The sequence below is a fragment of the Homo sapiens genome, chromosome 9 (assembly GCF_000001405.40).
Source record: "Homo sapiens chromosome 9, GRCh38.p14 Primary Assembly".
Classification (NCBI taxonomy): domain Eukaryota; kingdom Metazoa; phylum Chordata; class Mammalia; order Primates; family Hominidae; genus Homo; species Homo sapiens.
The window spans coordinates 33,622,515-33,645,552 of NC_000009.12; the positions used below are offsets into that span (position 1 = coordinate 33,622,515).

Sequence of the window (23,038 nt, forward strand, 5' to 3'; positions counted from 1 at the left end):
GCTAGAGTTAATTAAGTGGGACGAGGGATAATGAATTCGAGGGCATTTAAGAAAGATTAAAGAACCAATGCAAAATGTTTTAATCAGGAAAGAAATTGGTGTGTTTAATGACAGAAAAGAAGTCAGCAGCATGGCAGGAGCTGGGGGGAGGTCGGTGAGTACAGGGCAAACTTGAAGAAGGCAGGAAGGCATCAGACCACTCAGAACCTTACTGGTCAAGGTAAATTATACAGAATTCAACATAAAGCTTAACAGGAGACACTGAGGTTTTCAACATTTGACTTCTGTAGTAATCAGATTCGTGGCTGTGTATCTGTGTATTTAATCACCCTGGTCACAAAGTGAAGAAATAATGGACTGTGCAGGGAAGACAAAATGTTACCTCTTCCCTCTTAGGGTTTTTCGGCTGGGCCTGAGAATGGAACAGATTAACAGGAGGAAAGCATACACATGTATTTAATATAAGTTTTACATCACATGAAAGGCCCCATAATTAAAGGAAGACCTGAATATGCAGTTAGAATTCAATACTCATATACTCAGTTGGGCAAAGAGTCATACATTGTGGAAAGGTGAAAAAGGGGCTTGGGCTAGGGTTGCTGGTTGAATGGCAAAGTGACTAGGAAGGTGAGGGTTAGTTTAACAAGCTTTTTTGGTATAGATTCCTTGGCCTCAACATCATCCCCTCCTACCCTTCATGTTAAGAATGTTCTTTCTTTCTGGTATAGATAAGACATCTTTTATATGGGAGGCTTATTCCATTTTTCAAGAAGAAAAGGGGAAGGGTCAGAGTACTCTTATACCTGCTATTGTCTTTAATGACTCTAGCTCAAAATAATCCTTATGCCAAAGTGGCATATTTTGGGCGGAGGGTTGGGGGCTTATGCTGCCACCCTCCAGCAGTGTGGACAGAGTTGATGCGGAGAAAAAAGTTAGCTCAGGCAAGCAGTAGTTTAGCTGGGATAATGATGATGGTGTTAGAAATATGGGGAAAATGAGACATTTAAAAGGAAGAAAATCAAAGGACTTGGCAATTGATTAGACATGAGCAGCAATATGCAGGGGGTGGGGGGTGGTGATTAAGAGACTGCGACAGACAGACAAATAAGGAGGACCAAGTGGGAAGAAGATCAAGATTTACTTTGAGATTGGGAGTGCCTTTGGGACAGTAATCTAAACAAGAATATGCAGGGAGCAGTTGGATGTACAAGTCATGGACTCAGAAAATGGATCTGGATAAGAAGTACACCTTTGGGACATTTAGCATCACTGGAAGAATGAAAGTGCCTCCAATCCCTTGATATAGAGTTTACAATGAAAAAAGCAGAGAACATAGGATAGAGATTTAGGCAGCACACCTGCCTTGGGGGACTATAAAAGGTTGAGGGAGGCAAAATGCACTGATAAACCACCATCGGCATTAGACTAATGGCTGAGTAATTGTGTAAGTAATTGCTAGTAATAATGCTGTGGAGTACGTGCCTGGTACCACACCAAGTGCTGCTTTTTTCTTAATTCCGCTCTGATACTTGGGATGCCTCCCTGCTGCCTCGCTGCGGGGCGGGCCACTCCCCACCCAGGCAGGCCGAGGCAGAGCTCAGCGGGCATCGGATGAATTCGCCCCTTTGACCACTAGAGGGTGATGTGGATCTTTCTGTAAAATATCTGCTGCTCATCAAGTGCGGACTCAAGAGCTTCACCTGTGTTCAGCATTTGGGGACGCTCTCAGCTCTCGGCGCACGGCCCAGCTTCCTTCAAAATGTCTACTGTTCACGAAATCCTGTGCAAGCTCAGCTTGGAGGGTGATCACTCTACACCCCCAAGTGCATATGGGTCTGTCAAAGCCTACACTAACTTTGATGCTGAGCGGGATGCTTTGAACATTGAAACAGCCATCAAGACCAAAGGTGTGGATGAGGTCACCATTGTCAACATTGTGACCAACCGCGACAATGCACAGAGACAGGATATTGTCTTCTCCTACCAGAGAAGGACCAAAAAGGAACTTGCATCAGCACTGAAGTCAGCCTTATCTGGCCACCTGGAGACGGTGATTTTGGGCCTATTGAAGACACCTGCTCAGTATGACGCTTCTGAGCTAAAAGCTTCCATGAAGGGGCTAGGAACCGACGAGGACTCTCTCATTGAGATCATCTGCTCCAGAACCAACCAGGAGCTGCAGGAAATTAACAGAGTCTACAAGGAAATGTACAAGACTGATCTGGAGAAGGACATTATTTCGGACACATCTGGTGACTTCCGCAAGCTGATGGTTGCCCTGGCAAAGGGTAGAAGAGCAGAGGATGGCTCTGTCATTGATTATGAACTGATTGACCAAGATGCCCAGGATCTCTATGACGCTGGAGTGAAGAGGAAAGGAACTGATGTTCCCAAGTGGATCAGCATCATGACCGAGCGGAGCGTGCCCCACCTCCAGAAAGTATTTGATAGGTACAAGAGTTACAGCCCTTATGACATGTTGGAAAGCATCAGGAAAGAGGTTAAAGGAGACCTGGAAAATGCTTTCCTGAACCTGGTCCAGCGCATTCAGAACAAGCCCTTGTATTTTGCTGATCAGCTGTACGACTCCATGAAGGGCAAGGGGACGCGAGATAAGGTCCTGATCAGAATCATGGTCTCCCGCAGTGAAGTGGACATGTTGAAAATTAGGTCTGAATTCAAGAGAAAGTACGGCAAGTCCCTGTACTATTACATCCAGCAAGACACTAAGGGCGACTACCAGAAAGCGCTGCTGTACCTGTGTGGTGGAGACGACTGAAGCCCGACACAGCCTGAGCGTCCAGAAATGGTGCTCACCATGCTTCCAGCTAACAGGTCTACTAAACATACAAAAGTTTAGCCGGGCGTGGTGGCGCTCGCCTGTAGTCCCAGCTAGTCCGGAGGCTGAGGCAGGAGAATGGCTTGAACCCGGAAGGCAGAGGTTACAGTGAGCCGAGATCATGCCACTGCACTCCAGCCTGGGCAACAGAGCTAGACTCTGTCTCTAAATAAATAAATAAATGTAAGGGGCGCGGTGGCTCACGCCTGTAATCCCAGCACTTTGGGAGGCCGAGGTGGGCGGATCACCTGAGGTCAGGAGTTCAAGACCAGCCTGGCCAACATGGTGAAACCCCGTCTCTACCAAAAACACAAAAAATTAGCCGGACGTGGTGGCGGGTGCCTGTAATCCCAGCTACTCGGGAGGCTGAGGCAGGAGAATTGCTGGAACCCGGGAGTGCAGTGAGCTGAGATCATACCATTGCACTCCAGGCAGCTGGGCGACAGGGTGAAACTCTGTCTCAAACAAAAAAAAAAAAGTTTGAAATAAGTAAAGATATACAACATGATCATGAAAAAGTGAATCCAATAATCCAATAGTAAGTTTATTTTAATTTCTGCAGTATTATCTATATATTCAATACGACAGTAATCAAACTACAAAATATTTATTTCATGAAATTTGGCATATAATCTACAACTAAGTGAAAAAGAAGAACAAAAATAAGCATTATTTAAGAAGGACAGAAAGTGACGTGAATTGCTCTACCAATTATCAAATTATGTTATCACTTAGGATAATGAAAGAAGCGTGATTGGCCGGGCGCGGTAGCTCACGTCTGTAATCCCAGCACTTTGGGAGGCCGAGGCAGGTGGATCAGGAGGTCAGGAGATGGAGACCATCCTGGCTAACACAGTGAAACCCTGTCTCTACTAAAAATACAAAAGAATTAGCCGGGCATGGTGGCGGGCGCCTGTAGTCCCAGCTACTCGGGAGGCTGAGGCAGGAGAATGGCGTGAACCCGGGAGGCGGAGCTTGCAGTGAGCCGAGATAGCACCACTGCACTCCAGCCTGGGCCACAAAGCCAGACTCCGTCTCAAAAAAAAAAAAAAAAAAAAAAAAGAAGCGTGATTAAACAGGCAAATGGAAAAGAGAAAATGAAAAATAGGTCCATGAATATATAGGAATTTCACATATGATAGAGGTGTTATTGAAGCTATATGGAGGAATTATGTAATATACAATAAGTTATTCTGGAACAGGTGGTTATCCATACAAGGAAAGATGAATTTAAACCTTACTTCACAATATATGCTAAAATAAATCACAAGTGGATTAAATGCTTAAATGCAAAATTCAAAATGTTAGGTGTTTTGGTAAATAATAAGGATTATATCTTCATGAATTTGGGCTATGGGTTTTTTTTATATAAAGAATTTAAAAACATGTTCACCCCAAATAAAAGAATAATGCATTCTACTAAATTAAGAAATCCAACAAAAAGTAGCACAAAGAGAGTAAAGACATAAACCACAAACTGGAAAGATATTAGGAACACATATAGCTGACAAACGTTGGGTATCCAGAGTCTATAAAATCTGTTACAAATAAATAACAGTTAATCAACCAAAAAGAAATATGGACAAAGGGCAGTTTACAGCAACACTGGTGGCCTATAATATATAAAATATGTTCAACCTTCTTAGCAACCAGGAAGAAGCAAGCTAAAACTATATTGTACCATGAGATAATATTAACAAACTAGACTGGCAAAATTAAAAGTATATTAAATAGCAAGTGTAGTCCTAGATGTGGAACATTTGAACACACTCATGAACTGTTGGTGGGATCATTTATTTGGCTTAATCACTTTGGAAAGCATTTTGTTATGTTATGAAGTTGACATGCTGACTTGAAGACTCAGTCTTTACATTGCCAGGTATGGCAACAATCTTCCACCTAGGTAAGCAGAGACATGTTCAAGAATACCATACTGTTTGTAGCAGCACAAACACCCAGGGAAAAATTAGTGTGTATTAATTCAAGAATGAATCAATTCTAGCCAATGAATATAACGTAATACTAGATAGCAATGGAAGTAAATTGTCTAGATTATGTGTCAACATATTATCACAGACCTAATGTTGAATGAAAAAATAACATTACAGAAAAATATATAAACTAGCTGATTCCTCTTAGACACATTTCAAAGACACACAAAATTAAATACTACATAATTTACAGATTCTTGTGTAAATGCTACAGACTATAATGCAAAGCAAGTGAATGACAAATTTAAACTTCAGTTTACATCTACCTGGGCATGATGGAGAAACAATGAGGAAATCTAAAAGAGTAACATGGACTGAGAAATTTTCAGCAATAATCTAACTCTTAAGCTGATTGGTTCAGGCAAAGGTATTCATTTTATTGCTTCTATATATGCATTGCATATTTGTCATAAATATTGTTCTGTATAGTTCAACATTTAATTCTTTAATGTAGCCGGACGCGGTGGCTCATGCCTGTAATCCCAACACTTTGGGAGGCTGAGGTGGGCGGATCACTTGAGGTCAGGAATTCAAGACCAGCCAGTGACATGGTGAAAGGCTGTCTCTACTAAAAATACAAAAATTAGCCAGGTGTGGTGGTGGGGGCCTGTAATCCCAGCTACTCAGGAGGCTGAGGCAGGAGACTGCTTGAACCCAAGAGGCAAAGGCTGCAGTGGGCCGAGATCAAGCCACTGAACTCCAGCCTGGGAGACAGAGCAAGATCCGTCTCAAAAATAAATAAATAAATAAATAAGAAAAAATTACTTAATGTAAAGCTGCTGCTATGTGATTTTATAAGTGTGTCAAAAGCTACTATCTGTAAAGACCGAGTTGTATGATTCCTTACCTGAGATGGAAGGGAGGAGGGGAAGAAGCAAATTGACAAGTTAAAAAAGTAAACAGAGTGTAAATTAGTTCAACCATGTGGAAGACAGTGTGGCGATTCCTCAAGGATCTAGAACCAGAAATACCATTTGACCCAGCAATCCCATTACTGGGTATATACCCAAAGGATTATAAATCATTCTACTATAAAGACACATGCACATGTATGTTTACTGCAGCACTGTTCACAATAGCAAAGACTTGGAACCAACCCAAATGCCCATCAGTGATACACTGGATAAAGAAAATGTGGCACATATACACCATGGAATACTATGCAGCCATTAAAAAGAATGAGTTCATGTCCTTTGCAGGGACATGGATGAAGCTGGAAACCATCATTCTCAGCAAACTAACACAAGAACAGAAAACCAAACACTGCATGTTCTCACTCATAAGTGGGAGTTGAACAATGAGAACACATGGATACAGGGAGGGCAACATCATACACGGGGCCTGTTGGGGGATGGAGGGCTAGGGGAGGGATAGCATTAGGAGAAATACCTAATGTAGATGATGGGTTGATGGGTGCAGCAAACCACCATGGCATGTGTATACCTAATGTAACAAAACTGCACATTCTGCACATGTACCCCAGAACTTAAAGTATAATAATTTTTTTTAATAAATGTATGAGTGATTTTACTTAAAAAAATAGCAAAACAGTGAGTCACAGAAAAAAAAAACTAAAAGCAGGCTGAAACTTACACTATTTTTAACAGCTAAAACAAAGCCTGCCCTCCTACATTCTCTGAAATTGAAATGATTCTGTCCCATGTACAGAGCATCTACAAAGGCTATGGGAAGTGATCACATCACAAGCAGGTTGCTGACGGGGGCGGGGGGAGCGGGCGGAGCGGGTGAGGAAGCCTTACAGAAAAAGCTACCACCACGATTTCTGTCTGAGCCAACCAGGTGCCTCAGACTTCTCTGCTGTGTGGCCCTTTCTTTCTGGGGAGCAGGTAAGTCCCTGTTCTGAACTGGTGAATTCCAGTTCCAAGACTCTCTCCTGTGGCTGCAGTATCAGGCTCCCTCCTGGGCTTTTTTTCCTTCCTCCACAGCCTCCATGGACACCAAGGTCACCCAGAGACCTAGATTTCTGGTCAAAGCAAATGAACAGAAAGCAAAGATGGACTGTGTTCCTATAAAAAGACATAGTTATGTTTACTGGTATCATAAGACGCTGGAAGAAGAGCTCAAGTTTTTTATTTACTTTCAGAATGAAGAAATTATTCAGAAAGCAGAAATAATCAATGAGCGATTTTCAGCCCAATGCCCCCAAAACTCACCCTGTACCTTGGAGATCCAGTCCACGGAGTCAGGAGACACAGCACGGTATTTCTGTGCCAACAGCAAAGCCACAGTGCCGAATGTTAGCCCTTCTTAGAACACAAACTCATTATGGACCCAGCTCAGGAAATAAGTGTATGTCAGGTTGGTACACACTATAATAACAGAAAGCCAACTTGAAAGACAATAAATCAGAAGGAAAAACTTGTAAATAACAGCTCTAAGTGAGCAAAAAACAAAGGGGGAGGGGTACTTAAAACAGCTGATGGGGACAAAACCCCAGGGAAGGAAGCAGAAGGCATAAAAAGCTCGGATTCCTCCGTGTTCAGGATATTAGTTAAGATATACTAAGTTACCTTCTGTCTCTCTTTTCATATGAGCTTTAGGGATTTCTAACAATCTTTATTTAAAGAATGGGATTCTGTGCTTTTCACTTGGTAAAGCTGTGAGTTCAGAAATAAGAATAAGCAAATCAACTGTGTCTTTCAGGTAGACCCTGATCATCTGACCCAGCACATTTCCTTGAACTAGAGACAGACTCTAAAGGGCTTTTTGACTGCTTCTCACAGCTCTTCCTGCCATAGAAGTTTAGTAGGAACCATTAGCAATTCCCACCCTCTGGAATGTTACAATCACAAAAATTTTTAAAGCACCTTTATTGAGACATAAGATACATGTAGAATACGTAGGCAATAAACATATGCAACCGATGCAACAAAACCCACCCTCATTGTAAGTGTATACTTCAACAAATTTTAACACATTTTTATACCCATGTAACCATGATGACAATCAAGATACAAAACATTTTCATCATCTCAAAAAGTCCCCCACATCTCTTTATTGAGGTCTCGTTAATTTCTCTCAGCATTGCTTTGTAGTTTTTATTATACAGATCTCATACATATTTTCCTAAATTTTATTTTAATAAATTATAAATGTACTCAATAAAAATATTCTCTGCCAAGATTTCACATCAGCCTGACTCAGCCTAATTCAATTTCATCTTTACATTTTTCAATTGACATCTCTACCTCAGCATATTACATAAAAATACCTTCTCCAGAAATTGCATATGGTTTGGAGCAACCATATGTGAGCTCACAGCGTCAGCCTCATTCGCCATGTGAACCAATCAAGTGTTAGTGCTGCTCTGTTTCCAGGTAAATTATACGCATTCACATGTATTGGAAAAGCTGTGAAATTTCTGCAAGGTGTACTTTAAGAAGAGGTATATTTTGTTAATGAAAACATACCTATGAGTTAAGATTAATTAAAGGGAATATTTTGCAGTTAAGCACATGATTTGGAATGAGGGGTTGGGTGTTGAAGCCCTGCTGGTCAAGCCTCTGAATTCCATTCTTGTTTCTCCCATAGGCCACCTTCATCAGGTCTACAGTTCTACAATACAGAGTGTCAGTAGTAGGGAAGGTCGTTCATGTGAGAACAGGGAATACTTGGGATTCTGTAGTTTCTGCTCAACTTTGCTGCGGACTTAAAATTGCTCCAAAAATACAATTCACTAATTTAAAAATGGATACAAGTATTCAGATGGAGAATTACCATATTGGAGGCACGAAATGGGAACATACTGTTGAATCTGTTGCAATACAGGAAGAGTGTTTAATGACAAACTTTATTACTCCTTTGTCTAGGAAATAGGACACTATTTAACACTGACTACAACGAGGATCTTAAATACAGTAGAACTGTCTAAATTCTATCATTAAGAATAGTGTATATATTACCAATATAGGGATCTGAGGTGTCTCAGAATTAGTAACACATAGTACTGTAGAGATTATTTTAAAACGTAGTGTGGAGATAATTTTGTGATTCCATTTTAGGAATACTATTTCTGATTACATGGTTTCTTAGCGTAAAGCCTCACTCTTTCATGAAAGAGAGTATATACTATCATACTACGTCCCTGTAGTTTTCTATTCCAATAATGCTCCTTAGGAATAAAATATACATGATAATCATGATGATGACGTGGATAATGATGAATATAATTGATAATGCAGACAGTATGTAGAAAGATAGATGATAGAATTTGTACCATGTTTCCAGGACTAGAATACAATCATGGTAAGTATAATATAAAACTTGTTATAATTGAAGTCTGTAAACAGTCTAAAGAAGTAGTTTAATTTTTTTCCCTTGACACCTTGACAAATCTGCAAACTACACATATAGGCTAAGTACTTCCGAGGCTATATGAACTTCCTAAAAAACATTTCCTCTCTGTGGATTCCAGCATAATGCATATTCTCTTCTAAGGCAGAAGTTTTTAACCTGGGATCCATGGACCTCCAAGTAGTGCACAGATAAAATTCAGGGAATCCATAAATTTGAATGGGAAAATAGATCTTTATTTTAACTAATCTCCAACTGAAATATACCTTTCCCTCTAAGATATAGTGAGTAAACCAGAGTAGTTTTAGTAATACCAGTGACAAAATCAATTGCAGAAATCACAAACATTTGCTTACATGTTGCATAAGTGACAGTTGATATAAAAGTCAGATATTTTCATATCATGTTACATGCAGTAAATATACCTTCATCACTATGTTGAAATCGTGACAGTTTTCAGATTCATCAGGTTATATTTTATTTAATGAAATTTAAAAGTGTTCCTATATTAATATATGAAAATTTAAAAAAATATTTTGATGTCTGCATTTCAAAATAATTGTTTTTCTATATTCTAGTTTGTGCATTTAAAATGTTATCCTGAGATGGGGTCCCTAGGATTTACCAGTCTGACAAAGAGGTCCCTGGTACAATGTGAAGAACTCCTGGACACAGAATTAGATCCTCAACGCAGGCATGATTGACAACCTGAAACCTAGACTCACGCATTGGAAGCAACCATGTTGGAAGCATTCTTTCTCAGAGTTTTACCCACACTGCTGCACCTCTTAATGCTTCTCACTTTAAATAATTACTTTGCATTCTCTCTCTTTCTCTCTCTCTCTCTCTCTCACTCTCGCTCTCCTGCTCTTTTATTTTCTCTCTCTGCCTTCTGTTTTTCTTCTAGGAGGAAATAGCAACAGCTTCTAAACCCCACCAGCTTGCAACCAAAAGTTTCATCATGAAAGCATCTTTTAATGGCAGATAACCTCAGAACAACATTTGTCTACCAAAACAAAAGCATTCATTAAGAAATCATCGGAATTGAACAATGAGAACACATGGACACAGGAAGGGGAACATCACACACTGGGGACTGTTGTGGGGTGGGGGGAGGGGGGAGGGATAGTATTAGGAGATATACCTAATGCTAAATGACGAGTGAATGGGTGCAGCACACCAGCATGGCACATGTATACATATGTAACAAACCTGCACGTTGTGCACATGTACCCTAAAACTTAAAGTATAATAATAATAATAATAAAGAAATCATCTAGGATCCTATTTTTATTTACTAAATCTATTGGGAAGAACCTATGTTATACAGTGAATTTACACTCATACAAATTTCTACTCGTGTTGGAAAATGATACTTTAGTCAGCTGGTACAACCCTATGACCATAAATGTCTGATTTCACTTGATATAGTATTGACTTCCTAACTTCCTGTGAATTAGAATATCAGGTCCAGAACGTAATAATAGCAAACACAAATATAGTGTTTCTTATGTACTAAGAACTGTTCTAAATGCTTTATTTATGTAATGTTCATCACAGGTTTGGGGGTAGTTACTTATTATCTCAATTTTACAGGTAAAGTCAGATTGAAGAGAGGCTCTGTAACTTTTACAAGGTTACGTAGATGCTAAATGGCACAGACAGGACTAAAGCCCATGCCGTGTCCCAAGTCCCTGCTCTAATCCATTGTCACAAGGGGAGGGGCACTTCAGACGCTTTGCTATTCCTAAAATTACAGGAGTAGCGCCTACCCCATCTCTACTGTATTAATTATTTATAGTAAATACAGAGAGTGTCGAGAATTGGTTCTTTAAAAAAAAACAACCACAAAAAACTAAACTTCCAAACCCCTTCTTGTGTTGAGTTGAGCACAGGTGCATGGCACTCTGTGTATGACTCTGACCAGGAAATGAGGGATTGGCTCTTCTGACCATGCAGGCAGGCACTTGTCCATTTAGAAGGGATATAAAAAGCTTCTATAAGCAGAAGAGGAGGTGCATGTGACTTGATCTCTCTAATTCTTAGTCTCACCATCTGCAAAATCAGCTGTGACAATCAGTCATCATGTAGCAATGACAAATTCTTTATATTAAGCCCTGGGGAGGGGCTAGATCTCAGCCTCTCTCTCTCTCAGAGCCTGTGTCTGTAACTTCAGAGAGACTTCATCGCTGCCATGGGCAGCTGTGTCCTCTGCTATGTGACCCTGTGTCTCCTGGGAGCAGGTGAGCTCAGCACACATCCAGTTGGTCAATTCCTATCCTGGGCTTGCCAGGCCCCTCCCCGGCCAGCACCTCCCTTCTGGGCATGATCTCTAGCCTTTGTCTCTTGGACCCTTGGATGCTGACATCTATCAGACGCCATTCCAGCTCACTGGGGCTGGATGGGATGTGACCCTGGAGTAGAAACAATTTGAGACACAATGACATGTACTGGTACTGGTACTGGCAGGACCCAAAGCAAAATCTGAGACTGATCTATTACTCAAGGGTTGAAAAGGATATTCAGAGAGGAGACCTAACTGAAGGCTACGGTGTCTCCCGAGAGGAGAAGGGGCTGTTTCTTCTCATGGTGAAGCTGGCCCACACCAGCCAAACAGCTCTGTACTTCTGTCCTGGGAGTGCACCACAGTGGAAGCACAGCCATTGTCTCTCTGTGCGGAAATGTGTCCTAGCCCTGTAGTCCCCACCACATCCTCTAGTTTAATTTTTTCATTTTTAATATTTTCTTGAGATTTTCCTATGTCCTGTTACTTTTGCAAACACAAAGGATACAAAACTGAAAAGAAAATAGATCCTTTATCCAAGGAGCTAAGAGTCTAGCAAGAAAGTAATTATAATAGAACGGAAAATATCATATATAATACTACAATCAGAAGTCATTTGGGAGCTTCAGGGAGGACATGCACAATTCTGTTTGATTGAATGAGAAAAAGCAAAGAGGAAGTCCCATTAGAACCTCACCAGATAGACCTGGTTCTGAGTAGAGCATTCCAGGCAAAGAGAACAACTTTTGCAAAGGCATATTAAAGAGTTTGACACTTTGGGGAACAGTTTACAAAGAGAAAGATGATGATCAATGTATATGAATCAAAAGAAATGGAATATATCTGAGGAAGTAGAAAGGAGTTTTTGAAAAAGTTGAGTTTTTGGTTCCATGAATATAATAAGTATGAAAGTCCTTTGTAGGCTGTTGCTCAAAAGAGAGAGCTGAAGCTTGTTATCAGCAAACAAGCAAATGATACAATTTTTCAATTTTCCTCATATAACTTTGATCATTTACAAAGGGCACAATTTCAAACAATATGAAATCACGTTAGCAGTAGCAGTTCCCATTTGGGATAATAGGGTTCAACTGTCTATGGAACAATCAGATAAAAACTAGAAGTACGCAACTGCATAGACAAGATGTGAAATTGAGATGCCATAAAGCTGGACTAGAGGTTGAGATTCTGCAGATTACAGCATGTCAATAATTGAACTGTGGGGACAGAAAATTCCACCCAAATATAGATTTAGATCACAGAGATAAAATGCATGGGAATTAAGACTGTAGTATTCTGGTTCCTTATGGAGAATAAAGAAGCCTGAGAGTGAGGAGTGATTAGAACATGGGATGTAAAAACAAAAGAGGGAAAGAGAGAGAGTGAGAGTTTTGTTTTGTCTGATATTTCTAAGAAAATTAGGGAAAAAAATAAAGGTAACCCAGGCAGAAGAAGCCACAAACACTTCTTGGGTAACAGGGAATAGTCGGTAAAATGTTATATGTTAGTTTACTGAGGTGAACAGAACCTTTTCCATTGAGGTTCCATTTGGAAAGACATAAGACTTAGCTAAGATTCCAAGAAATCACCAAAGTAGGAAATGAAAAACCTCCATGAATGAAGTTGCATGAGTCTGCCTACCAGTGGATAAAGGATAGGATAAAAGAATAGCTGCAAAGGATAAAAGAATAGCTGAGGCACTGAAGTAGAAGCTCCAAGTGAGAGGACTAAATCTAACAGACATGAAGAATTATTATAAGAGAATTATTATAAAACCACAATAATAAAAGTGGTATAATATAGGGGCATTGATATATAAATAGATCCAAGGAAAAAAATACATGTGCATAAACACACAGCAATGGTACTGCAATAATCAAAGAATACATTTTTCAACAAATGGTGATGGGAAAATTGGGTATCTATATAAAGGAAAACAAGTGCAATTGGACACATCTCAATACATAGCCAAAATCAATCCCAGCTATATTAAAAGCATAATTGTAATAAAATCACAAGGCTTCTAGAATACTGTATAATATAAAAGGACATCTTCATGGCCTTAAAGCAGGGAAAGATTTCTTATTCCCTCAATCAGTAGGGAACCGATTGATAAAAATGGCTATATAAAAACTGATATTGAATTTATCAAAGTTAATTATATAAGAGTGACAAGATTGACTGTATAGTGACATATCATTAAATATCTATATATTTATACCAAATTAATATCCCTATCTATATTTATATATTCAAGAAAAGCTAGTATATATAATTTATTTTTTAAAAACCTAGAAACTAATTTTTCTCCAGATCAATGAGAAAAAGGTAACTGTCAATAGAAAAAGTGAGTGAAAACCATAAGCTCCCAGCAAAATCTCACTGGTCATTAAACATGTAAATGTTGCTAAATTTAATAATCAGGGAAATGGAAATTGAGTCCAACGAAATATATACCCACAAGAATCTCTACGATGGTAAAAATAGTAATCTATCAAGTGTTGGCAAGGCAAAAGTGTCAACAAGAATTCTCTGAATCACTGGCTAGAGTGTATATTGGTAGATCTAAGTTGGAAAACAATTTGGCATTACCTAGTAAAGTTCAAGATGTGTGTACCCACTGTCCATCAATTCCACCCTTGAGAAAGGCTTTTCTAGAGAAACACTTCTGTGAAAATCAGGACAAGGATATTCACTGTAATACATCTGTAATAGCAAAAATGCATACAATATCCAAATGTAACTTAACAGAAGAGTAAATAAATTATGGTTTATTATTATAAAGAAATTACACAGCAGTAAAAATTCATGAACTAAAACTAAACACACAAACATGACTGAATTTCACAAATTTGAAGAAAAATTACATTACAGAAGAAAGGTACAGTATTGTCTCATTTGTATAAAGTTTGGAAGCATGTAAAACTAAACACTTTTGTTTGCTTATGTACCTATGTGTTAAAATATGAAAGAGAAGCAAATAAATATAAAAGCAAACACCTCAGTAGAGTTAGAGAACAGAGGCATGGGATCTGGGAAAAGAAATGAGTGCTTTCAAATATTCTGGTAATATTTTATTTCCTGTGCCAAGTTGTTTTTTTAAGTGGTCATTTTGTTGGTATGTTATCAAGTTATTGTCTATATATTCAAAGACAATCTTGTAATGTGGAGGAAACAACCTCACTGAACAATTAAATAAGTAAGGAGAAATCTATGGAAAGATATACATTAAACTGTTAACATTACTTACCTGAAATGAGGATGAGATGGAGGAAGAAAAAAGTAAAAAAATAAATAAATCACCAAAAATGCACTATTTAAAATAAATAGTTACAGAAAGAAAAGCAAAAAAGGGAGGTTATCTAAAAGAAACACTAGTAAATGAACAAGCTAAAATACACCAAAAAGAGCTAAAAGGTGAAGTATTTTTCAAAGCAGTGGCTAGTTTCAGAATCATAAAAATAGCAATTACAATAGAGATCTATATTATACTAAAAGATAATTAGATAATTAATAGCCAGAAGAAATGTCTAGTCGTGAGTTAGAAACTGATGCTCAAATTAATGGCAAAGGACATTTTTGAAACAACTGTAAAACTCTGCATAAAAACTAAATAGCAGATAAGATGAAACTGCATTGATGAGAAAGGATGATGATCATTAACTGAAAAAAAAAGCTTATCAAACAGAATTTCAAGAATATTGTTTATAATAAAAAATAATGTGTCTATATATCTACACATTTATATATGGGGAGAGAAGGATCTAGAAAGACTCTCACTAATGTGTTAACAGTGATAATTGCTTTCTGGCAGTGGTATATTTTTATTTTGTTATTTTATTTTCTAACTTTCTAAAATATCAGTGCTTTGCTTATATTAGCAAAAATAGACATACAATATTTTAAATGAATACAAAATAACTTAGTTATATTTACTGAGTTAGGAATAAAAGCTTTTTTTCCCGATACCATGAAGTGTTTTTGCTCAGAAACATGAAGCAGTAACAAGATGATTATGAATCTGTGGAGCAATCACGTCACAAGAAGGTGCAGACGGGGATGAAAAAGCCTCATCCCTTTGCGACGTCAATGCGACCACGGGCACCAGGCTTCTCGGCTGGGTAGCTCTTTGTCTCCTGGCAGCAGGTGAGCTCTGAGCACAGAATAAAAACCCTTGTCCTGGGCTGGCCAACCCCCAGATCCAAGCTTTGCTGTTGTTGTTAAGGTCTTTCCTGGACTCTGTCTACAGCATCTGTTTCTTTCTCTTACAGGCTGTTTTCATGCCAAAGTCACACAGACTCCAGGATATTTGGTCAAAGGAAAAGGAAGGAAAACAAAGATGTATTGTACCCCCAAAAACGGACATACTTTTGTTTGTTGGTATCAGCAGAATCAGAATAAAGAGTTTATGTTTTTGATTTCCTTTCAGAATGAACAAGTTCTTCAAGAAATGGAGATGCACAAGAAGCGATTCTCATCTCAATGCCCCAAGAACCCACCCTGCAGCCTGGCAATCCTGTCCTCGGAACCGGGAGACACCGCACTGTATCTCTGTGCCACCAGTCCGTCCACAGCACTGAAATGTCAGTTCCTGTTAGCACACAAACTTGCCACAGACCCAGCTCAGGAAGCAGGTGATGTATTAGGTTGGAAGGGAGTAACAGAAAATAACTGGAGCCAGCTTAAGCCACAGTGGAATTTAACACAAGGATAAAGGGTGTTTAGCAGAAGTCAAGAGGTGATGGACAGACAGTTCTGAAAAGGACAGACAGTTCTGAAAAGGCACCACTAGGGCCAGGCTCTAGAATGACTATCTCTCCAGCTCTGATTTTTATTCAGTTTTGCAGCTGCATGCTTTTCTCTCCCTGTACACCATCCCTTTTTCTCCAGGCCTCGTGGTGAGAATGAGATGGTCACTAAAGATTACAAATTCAGTTGCCATAATTTCCCTACAGTGACAAATACCACCCCAGCTCTTTCTAAGCCTGAGTTCAAAATCCCAGGAGAAAAAAACAGATCCGTCATGATCCAGCCATGAACCTTCTCATAGAGCACTCAGCAGTAGGCATGTATGTATGTATTTAAAATCACATAAACGTTACTTTTCCACTCAGCTCAAGCAAGGGAAATGCTCTGTTTTTCAGTATGTACATTCGGTCTGTTGGTTCTGTATGATAGAGAGTACTCATACCCATTTCTTCAGAAATACATACCCAGATTTTCTCTGGTTTCCGGCCAGAATTGAAAATTATTGTACAAATACCTTCATAGACTTGTATGATTGCTTTATAGGATTATATACCAAGAACAAGTTGTGATTGCTGAGACATGTAATTCTATGCATATTTTATCTATCTAAATGCCACCACAGGTTCTTCAGGATCACCGTATACATCTGCAATCCCACATAAAAGTGAATAGGGTGTTTTCCTACATCCTAATACCTCCTTTAATCCTTATCCAGTGATCTAGATTGTTATCAGTATAGCGATGTAAAGAGGTTCCAATCTCCCTCTCTCTCCATCCCCTCAGCCCTGCTCACCCAACACCAGAATATCATCAGTGTTTACCATAAAGAAACAGGTGACAATTCTTTTAAAACTAAATAAAACCAATAATTTAAAGGAACTGAGAGATTACTTTATACTACTATAATAATAGGTGGCAACAATCTAGAAAGCTGAATAATGTTCTCTCCCTCCTTTTCTTTCCCTTGCATTTTTCTAACTACTAATGAATTTGAGCACTTCTTCATGTGATAGTGGTCCTGGATTTCTGTTCTCAAAATGGCCTATCCATATCCTCAGGCAAAATTCTCTATTGAGAGTTCTATATTTTCCTCAACAATTTGTAGGAAGTCCTAAGATATACAAGATATTAGTCTCCTTTTTGAAATTTTAGGCACTGGAAATACCACCACCCAATATGGCACCACCCCTGTCCCAGACTTCAAAGAATTAGTAGATGTGGGAGGAGCCAGGTGGTCTCTTACCTTAGTAGGTGCATGCGTGTTATCTCCATTATGTGAATGAGACTTCTATCTTTCACTTCCACTCTGCTGAGTGCTCAACATGCTGTCTCTTCCATTATTACTCATGTCTTTAAGCAGCATAGAAAAGTTACCAGCCATGGCTGTCCCCAAACTACTGTCACCCATCGACATCCCTTTCCATCCAGAACTGCTGAAAAAAATGCTTCACTTCATTTAGCTGTGCTTTTTTACAATCTGGGGTAAATCTGATTCAAATTAATTTTCATTGCTCTAAGTAGATTATGCTGTCTGATTATAGCAAAGGACAGAAAAACTTCACACATCTTTTTGGAAGACTTAATACTTGCCCACACATTATCTCTTTTAGGGCCAAATTCCATCCACTGCAAACACCAATCTCCTTGAGCTCTTGATATGACAGCTGATCCATTTTGATTCCGCAAATGCTTGCAAAGCAACTCCCATTCACTGAGACATATAGGCACTGAGAAACTTTCAGCTACACTACATTGAATTTTGATTTCTGGGGAAAGGGAGAAGAGTAAAAAGAACCATAAAAATGTATTTCAAGTAATGTGTATAAGGATGACAAAATATAGATTACTTTCATGAAAAACATTAGAACATTATATTCTCTTTGGGAGTGATTTATCATTGGATAAATTAAAACAAATTCCTGAGGAAGTCTGGGAAAAAATAAATTTAGGAAAACAAATTTTAAATGATATCCTGAAAACCATCAGGGTTTACCATAAAGATAACAATCTAAAAAAATCCAACAAACAATTTAATAATGAATGAGAAAATATGAATACAGAAAATTCATATGAATATGGAATGAGATATTAGTAAAAATGTGCTTGAGAACACTTACAAATGAATTTTGTTGTCCAATTTGATTAAGAGTCTAGTCAAAGTGTTACTCTTTTAAACTACTTATAATGGTGTCAGTTTGACAATATGGAACAAAAACCTTTAAAATGCTTATTTTTGGGATTTGGCTTTAAATCAAAAGAGATAGTTGTTACTGTACTTGTCCTATTGCCTTAAGCCACTATAAAACTTGACAAAAATTATAAGACAACTATTTTCAGACATCAGACAACAGGCAGTATGGGGTTGCCATCACTGAGAAAGAGGAAACCTAGAAGGGAAATTTCACTATTGTCCTAAGACTCTGTCTTGGTATGATTTCTGGGCCGCAGCTCCAGGATATGAAGCCCAAGGAGGGGGCAGTGGTCTCTCCAGCATAGGGAGGCAGAGATTGAATTCAGAGCTGTGGACATGGCTGATAGTGATAGGGATAAGCTACTGCAGAGAAGGAAGCTATGCAGAATAAGACCTCCAAATATTGTATGAAGTCTCCTTAACTCTTTGGTCAAAAACTTAGCAGCAAATGCATAGGAAAAGCCTCCATAAGACCTGGCAGAGAGCAGTTGCTGGGTAGCTGTGAGAGGAATGGAGATTCTGACAGTCATACGGGCATGGGAGATAGGAATCCTGACCGGGCAGAGCTAAGAGGCCTTGCTGAAACCCCTGGGAATGCAGCTGGCACCACATAGGGGTCACATCTCAAGAGAAGGACTACCAAAGTCGTAGAGTAAACCACCCCAGAACTGCCCTAACAAAGCTCAGCAAGTCTCAAAAGGATCTAACTGATCTGCCAGTTAAGTTTGCTGCCTTTTGAAGAAAAATATCTCAGCACTCTCTAAATAAAGGCAAATATATATATAAATATATACATATATATATAATCTGTAGATATATATGTCTGTAGAGAGAGATATATCTCTAGAGTGTCAACAGTGTAGCATCTACAATTTTGATCTTGAAATGAAAAAAATATTAGACATAGGAAGAACTAGGAAATGTTACACATGGGGAAAAAAAATAAACAATAAAAACCAACCCTGAAATAACACAAATGTTGGAAATTTCAGATGAGAAATTTTAAGCAGCTATTATAGAAATATGTTCAAGAATTTGGAGGAAAATATGGTCATGATTTAATCAACTGATGAAATTGATTAACCCATAACAATCAAGACAAAATGGGGAAAGACACAAATTACAATATCAATGATGAAGGAAAGCATATGTCTATAGACACAAAAGACATTAAAATAGTGACAGAATATTATAAGTATATGCAATACATTCTTCAACTTAGATGAAATGAAATTATTTGAATAACACCATTTACCAAAATGATTCAAAATGAAATAAGAAATGTAAAGAACTTCAAATGAAGGAAGTTAAATTTTTTATCAAAAATCTTCTCTCAAAGAAACTCTAGACCTGAATTATTTCTTCATGAATTCTATAAAAAAAATTAAGGAAAAAAGACTATCCTTCTTACATAAACTTTTTCAGAAAATAGAAGAGGAAGAAACACTTCACAACACTTTTATAAACCCAGCAGAACCCTAATGTCAAAATCTGTCAAATGCATTACAGAACAGTATCTTTCACGGCTGCAAATGAAAGAAAACTTTTCACAATATATGAACAGATTAAATCCAAATACGTCTCAACAAAATACTGACAAACTGAATCCAGCAGCACATCAAAAAGCTTATCCTGGGATGCAAGGCTGGTTCAACATATGCAAATCAATAAACATAAGTCATCACATTAACAGATCTAAAGACAAAAACCACATGATTTTCTCAATAGATGCAGAGAAGGCCTTAAATAAAATTCATCATCATGTTAAAAACTCTCAATAAACTAGGTATTGAGGAACATACCTCAAAATAATAAGAGCTATTTATGACAAACCCACAGCCAATATCATACTGAATGGGCAAAAGTTAGAAGCATTCCCCTTGAAAACGAGCACAAGACAAGCATGCTCTCTCTCATCACTCCTATTCAACATAGTATTGGAAGTTCTGGCCAGCACAATCAGGCAAGAGAAAGAAATAAATGGTATTCGAATAAGAAGGGAGATAGTCAGGTTGTCTTTGTTTGTAGATGACAAAATCCTATATCTAGAAAACCCCACTGTCTCAGCTCAAAAGCTTCTTAAGCTGATAAGCAACTTCAGCAAAGTCTCAGGATACAAAATCAAAGTGCAGAAGTCACAAACATTTCTATACATCAACAACAGGCAAGCAGACAGCAAAATCATGAATGAACTCCCATTTGTAATTGCTACAAAGAGAATAAAATACCTAGAAATACAGCTAACAAGGAAAGTGAAGGACTTCTTCAAGAATAACTACAAACCACTGACTGCTCAAGGAAACCAGAGAGGACCCAAACAAATGGAAAAATATTTCATCCTCATGGATAGGAAGAATCAATATCATGAAAACGGCCAAACGGCACATAATAATTTATAGAGTCAATGCTATTCCCATTAAACTACCATTGACGTTCTTCACAGAATTAGGAAAAACTACTTTAAAATTCATATAGAACCAAAAGAGAGCTCAAATAGCCAAGACAATCATAAGCAAAAAGAACAAAGCTGGAGGCATCATGCTACCGGACTTCAAACTATACTATAAGGCTACAATAACCAAAACAGCATAGTACGGGTACAAAAACAGACACATAGACCAATGGAACAGAGCAGAGAACTCAGAAATGGATCACACATCTACACCATCTGATCTTCGAAAAATGTGACAAGAAAAGCAATGGGGAAATGATTCCCTATTTAATAAAAGGTGCAGGGAGAACTGGCTAACCATTTGCAGAAAATTGAAACTGGACTTCTTCCTCACACCTTATACAAAAACTAAATCAAGATGTATTAAGGACTTACATGTAAAAGCCAAAACAATAAAAAGCCTAGAATAAAATCTAGGCAATATCATTCAGGATATAGGCACAGGCATAGATTTCATGATGAAATCGTCAAAAACAATTACTACAAAAGCAAAAACTGACAAATGGGTTCTAAAGAGCTCCTACACAGCAAAAGAAATTATCATCATAGTGAACAGGAAACCCACAGAGTGGGAGAAAATTTTGTAGTCTACCCATCCGACAATATCCAGAATCTACAAGACATCCAAACAAATTTACAAGAAAAAAAAACAAACAACCCCATTAAAATGTGGGCAAAGGACGTGAAAAGACACTTCTCAAAAGAAGACATTCATGCGGCCAACAAACATACCAAAAAAAAAAAAAACTCAACACCACTGATCATTAGAGAAATGCAAGTCAAAACCACAATGAGATACCATCTCATACCAGTCAGAAAAGCCATTATGAAAATGCTGGCAAGGTTGTGGAGAAATAGGAATGCTTCTCCACTGTTGGTTAGAACCTAAATTAGTTCAACCATTGTGGAAGACAATGTGGTGCTTCCTCAAAGATCTAGAATGAGAAATACTATTTGACCCAGGAATCCCATTACTGGGTATATACCCAAAGCATTATAAATCATTCTATTACAAAGAAACATGCATGCATGTGTTAATTGCAGCACTATTCATAATAGCAAAGACACAGAATCAACCCAAATGCCCATCAACGATAGACTGGATAAAGAAAATGTGGTATATATACACCATGGAATACTATGCAGCCATAAAAAGGAATGAGATCATGTCTTTTGCAGGGACATGGATGAAACTGGGAGCCATTATCCTCAGCAAACTAACCCAGGAACAGAAAACCAAACGTTGCACGTTCTCACTTATAAGTGGGACCTAAACAATGAGAACACATGGACACAGGGAGGGGAACAACACACACTGGGGCCTGTTGGGGGATGGAGTGGGGGGAGGGAGGGCATTAGGAAAAATAGGTAATGCATGCTGGACTTAATACCTAGGTGATGGGTTGATAGGTGTAGCAAACCACCATGGCACACATTTACCTATGTTACAAACCTGCACATCCTGCACATGTACTCCAGAACTAAAAAAAAAAGTAGAGTTGCTATAAAGTACTCTATGGGGGGGGGGGGGGGCGGGAACTAGATAATTCACTCAAATTTTGATTAGCAAAGTCTTCCAAAAATTAATTTTCTTCAAAAAATAGAAAATATACTTTTGGATCAAAAATAAATAAGTAATAAATCCAAATATGTATGAATATATGTATATATTTGTGTGCATATACATATGTGTATATGTGAACAATTCTACAACATGACCAAGTGAGTTTATTGCGGGAGAAACAGTGGTTTAGCATTCCAAAATCAATATACTTCACCATATCAGCAGAATAATGAGGAATAATCACTTGACCATCTCAACAGATGCAGAGAAACCTTTGACACAATCAGTACTAAATCAAAAGAAACACTATCAGTAAACTGGTAAGACAGTTATCTCAATCTGATTAAAGTTGTAAATGAAAAATTTACAAATAACATCTGATTGAATAGCGTGTTGAGCACTTTCCTCCTATAATATAATAAGACACAAGCCATGAAGTTTACTCATTACTTTTTGCTTTAATTATAGATGAGGGCTCACTATATTCCCCAGGTGGGACTTGAATTCTTGGGCTTAATAAATTATTGTGCTAAGCTGCTCACTATTTTTATTCAATATTATATTGGAGATCTTAACCAGCGTGATAAAGCAACAAAAATAAAAGTTTTAAACATTGAAAAGGAAGAAGTAAAAGTACAATTATTTGCAGATTACATG

General features: G+C 38.2%; 4 pseudogenes across 1 annotated transcript, besides 10 other annotated features; all 4 read left to right on the forward strand.

Annotated features, from left to right (window-relative positions):
• Positions 1,553 to 2,052: an enhancer, noted in NCBI's record as "H3K4me1 hESC enhancer chr9:33624065-33624564 (GRCh37/hg19 assembly coordinates)". NCBI's record gives its function as "activates a minimal SCP1, AML or CMV promoter by ChIP-STARR-seq in naive H9 embryonic stem cells {active_cell/tissue: H9 hESC(naive)}" and the evidence as "EXISTENCE:reporter gene assay evidence [ECO:0000049][PMID:30033119]".
• ANXA2P2 (annexin A2 pseudogene 2) lies at positions 1,711 to 3,020 on the forward strand (annotated as a pseudogene). Its single transcript, NR_003573.1, has one exon. The product of NR_003573.1 is annotated as an annexin A2 pseudogene 2 (transcript).
• TRBV21OR9-2 (T cell receptor beta variable 21/OR9-2 (pseudogene)) lies at positions 6,629 to 7,074 on the forward strand (annotated as a pseudogene). The gene is given in 2 exon segments: positions 6,629 to 6,677; positions 6,777 to 7,074. Coding segments are annotated over 2 exon segments (347 nt in total).
• Positions 7,075 to 7,081: a recombination feature (RSS heptamer).
• Positions 7,082 to 7,104: a recombination feature (RSS spacer).
• Positions 7,105 to 7,112: a recombination feature (RSS nonamer).
• Positions 11,339 to 11,788, forward strand: TRBV22OR9-2 (T cell receptor beta variable 22/OR9-2 (pseudogene); annotated as a pseudogene). The gene is given in 2 exon segments: positions 11,339 to 11,387; positions 11,520 to 11,788. Coding segments are annotated over 2 exon segments (318 nt in total).
• Positions 11,789 to 11,795: a recombination feature (RSS heptamer).
• Positions 11,796 to 11,818: a recombination feature (RSS spacer).
• Positions 11,819 to 11,827: a recombination feature (RSS nonamer).
• Positions 15,523 to 15,994, forward strand: TRBV23OR9-2 (T cell receptor beta variable 23/OR9-2 (pseudogene); annotated as a pseudogene). The gene is given in 2 exon segments: positions 15,523 to 15,571; positions 15,697 to 15,994. Coding segments are annotated over 2 exon segments (347 nt in total).
• Positions 15,995 to 16,001: a recombination feature (RSS heptamer).
• Positions 16,002 to 16,024: a recombination feature (RSS spacer).
• Positions 16,025 to 16,033: a recombination feature (RSS nonamer).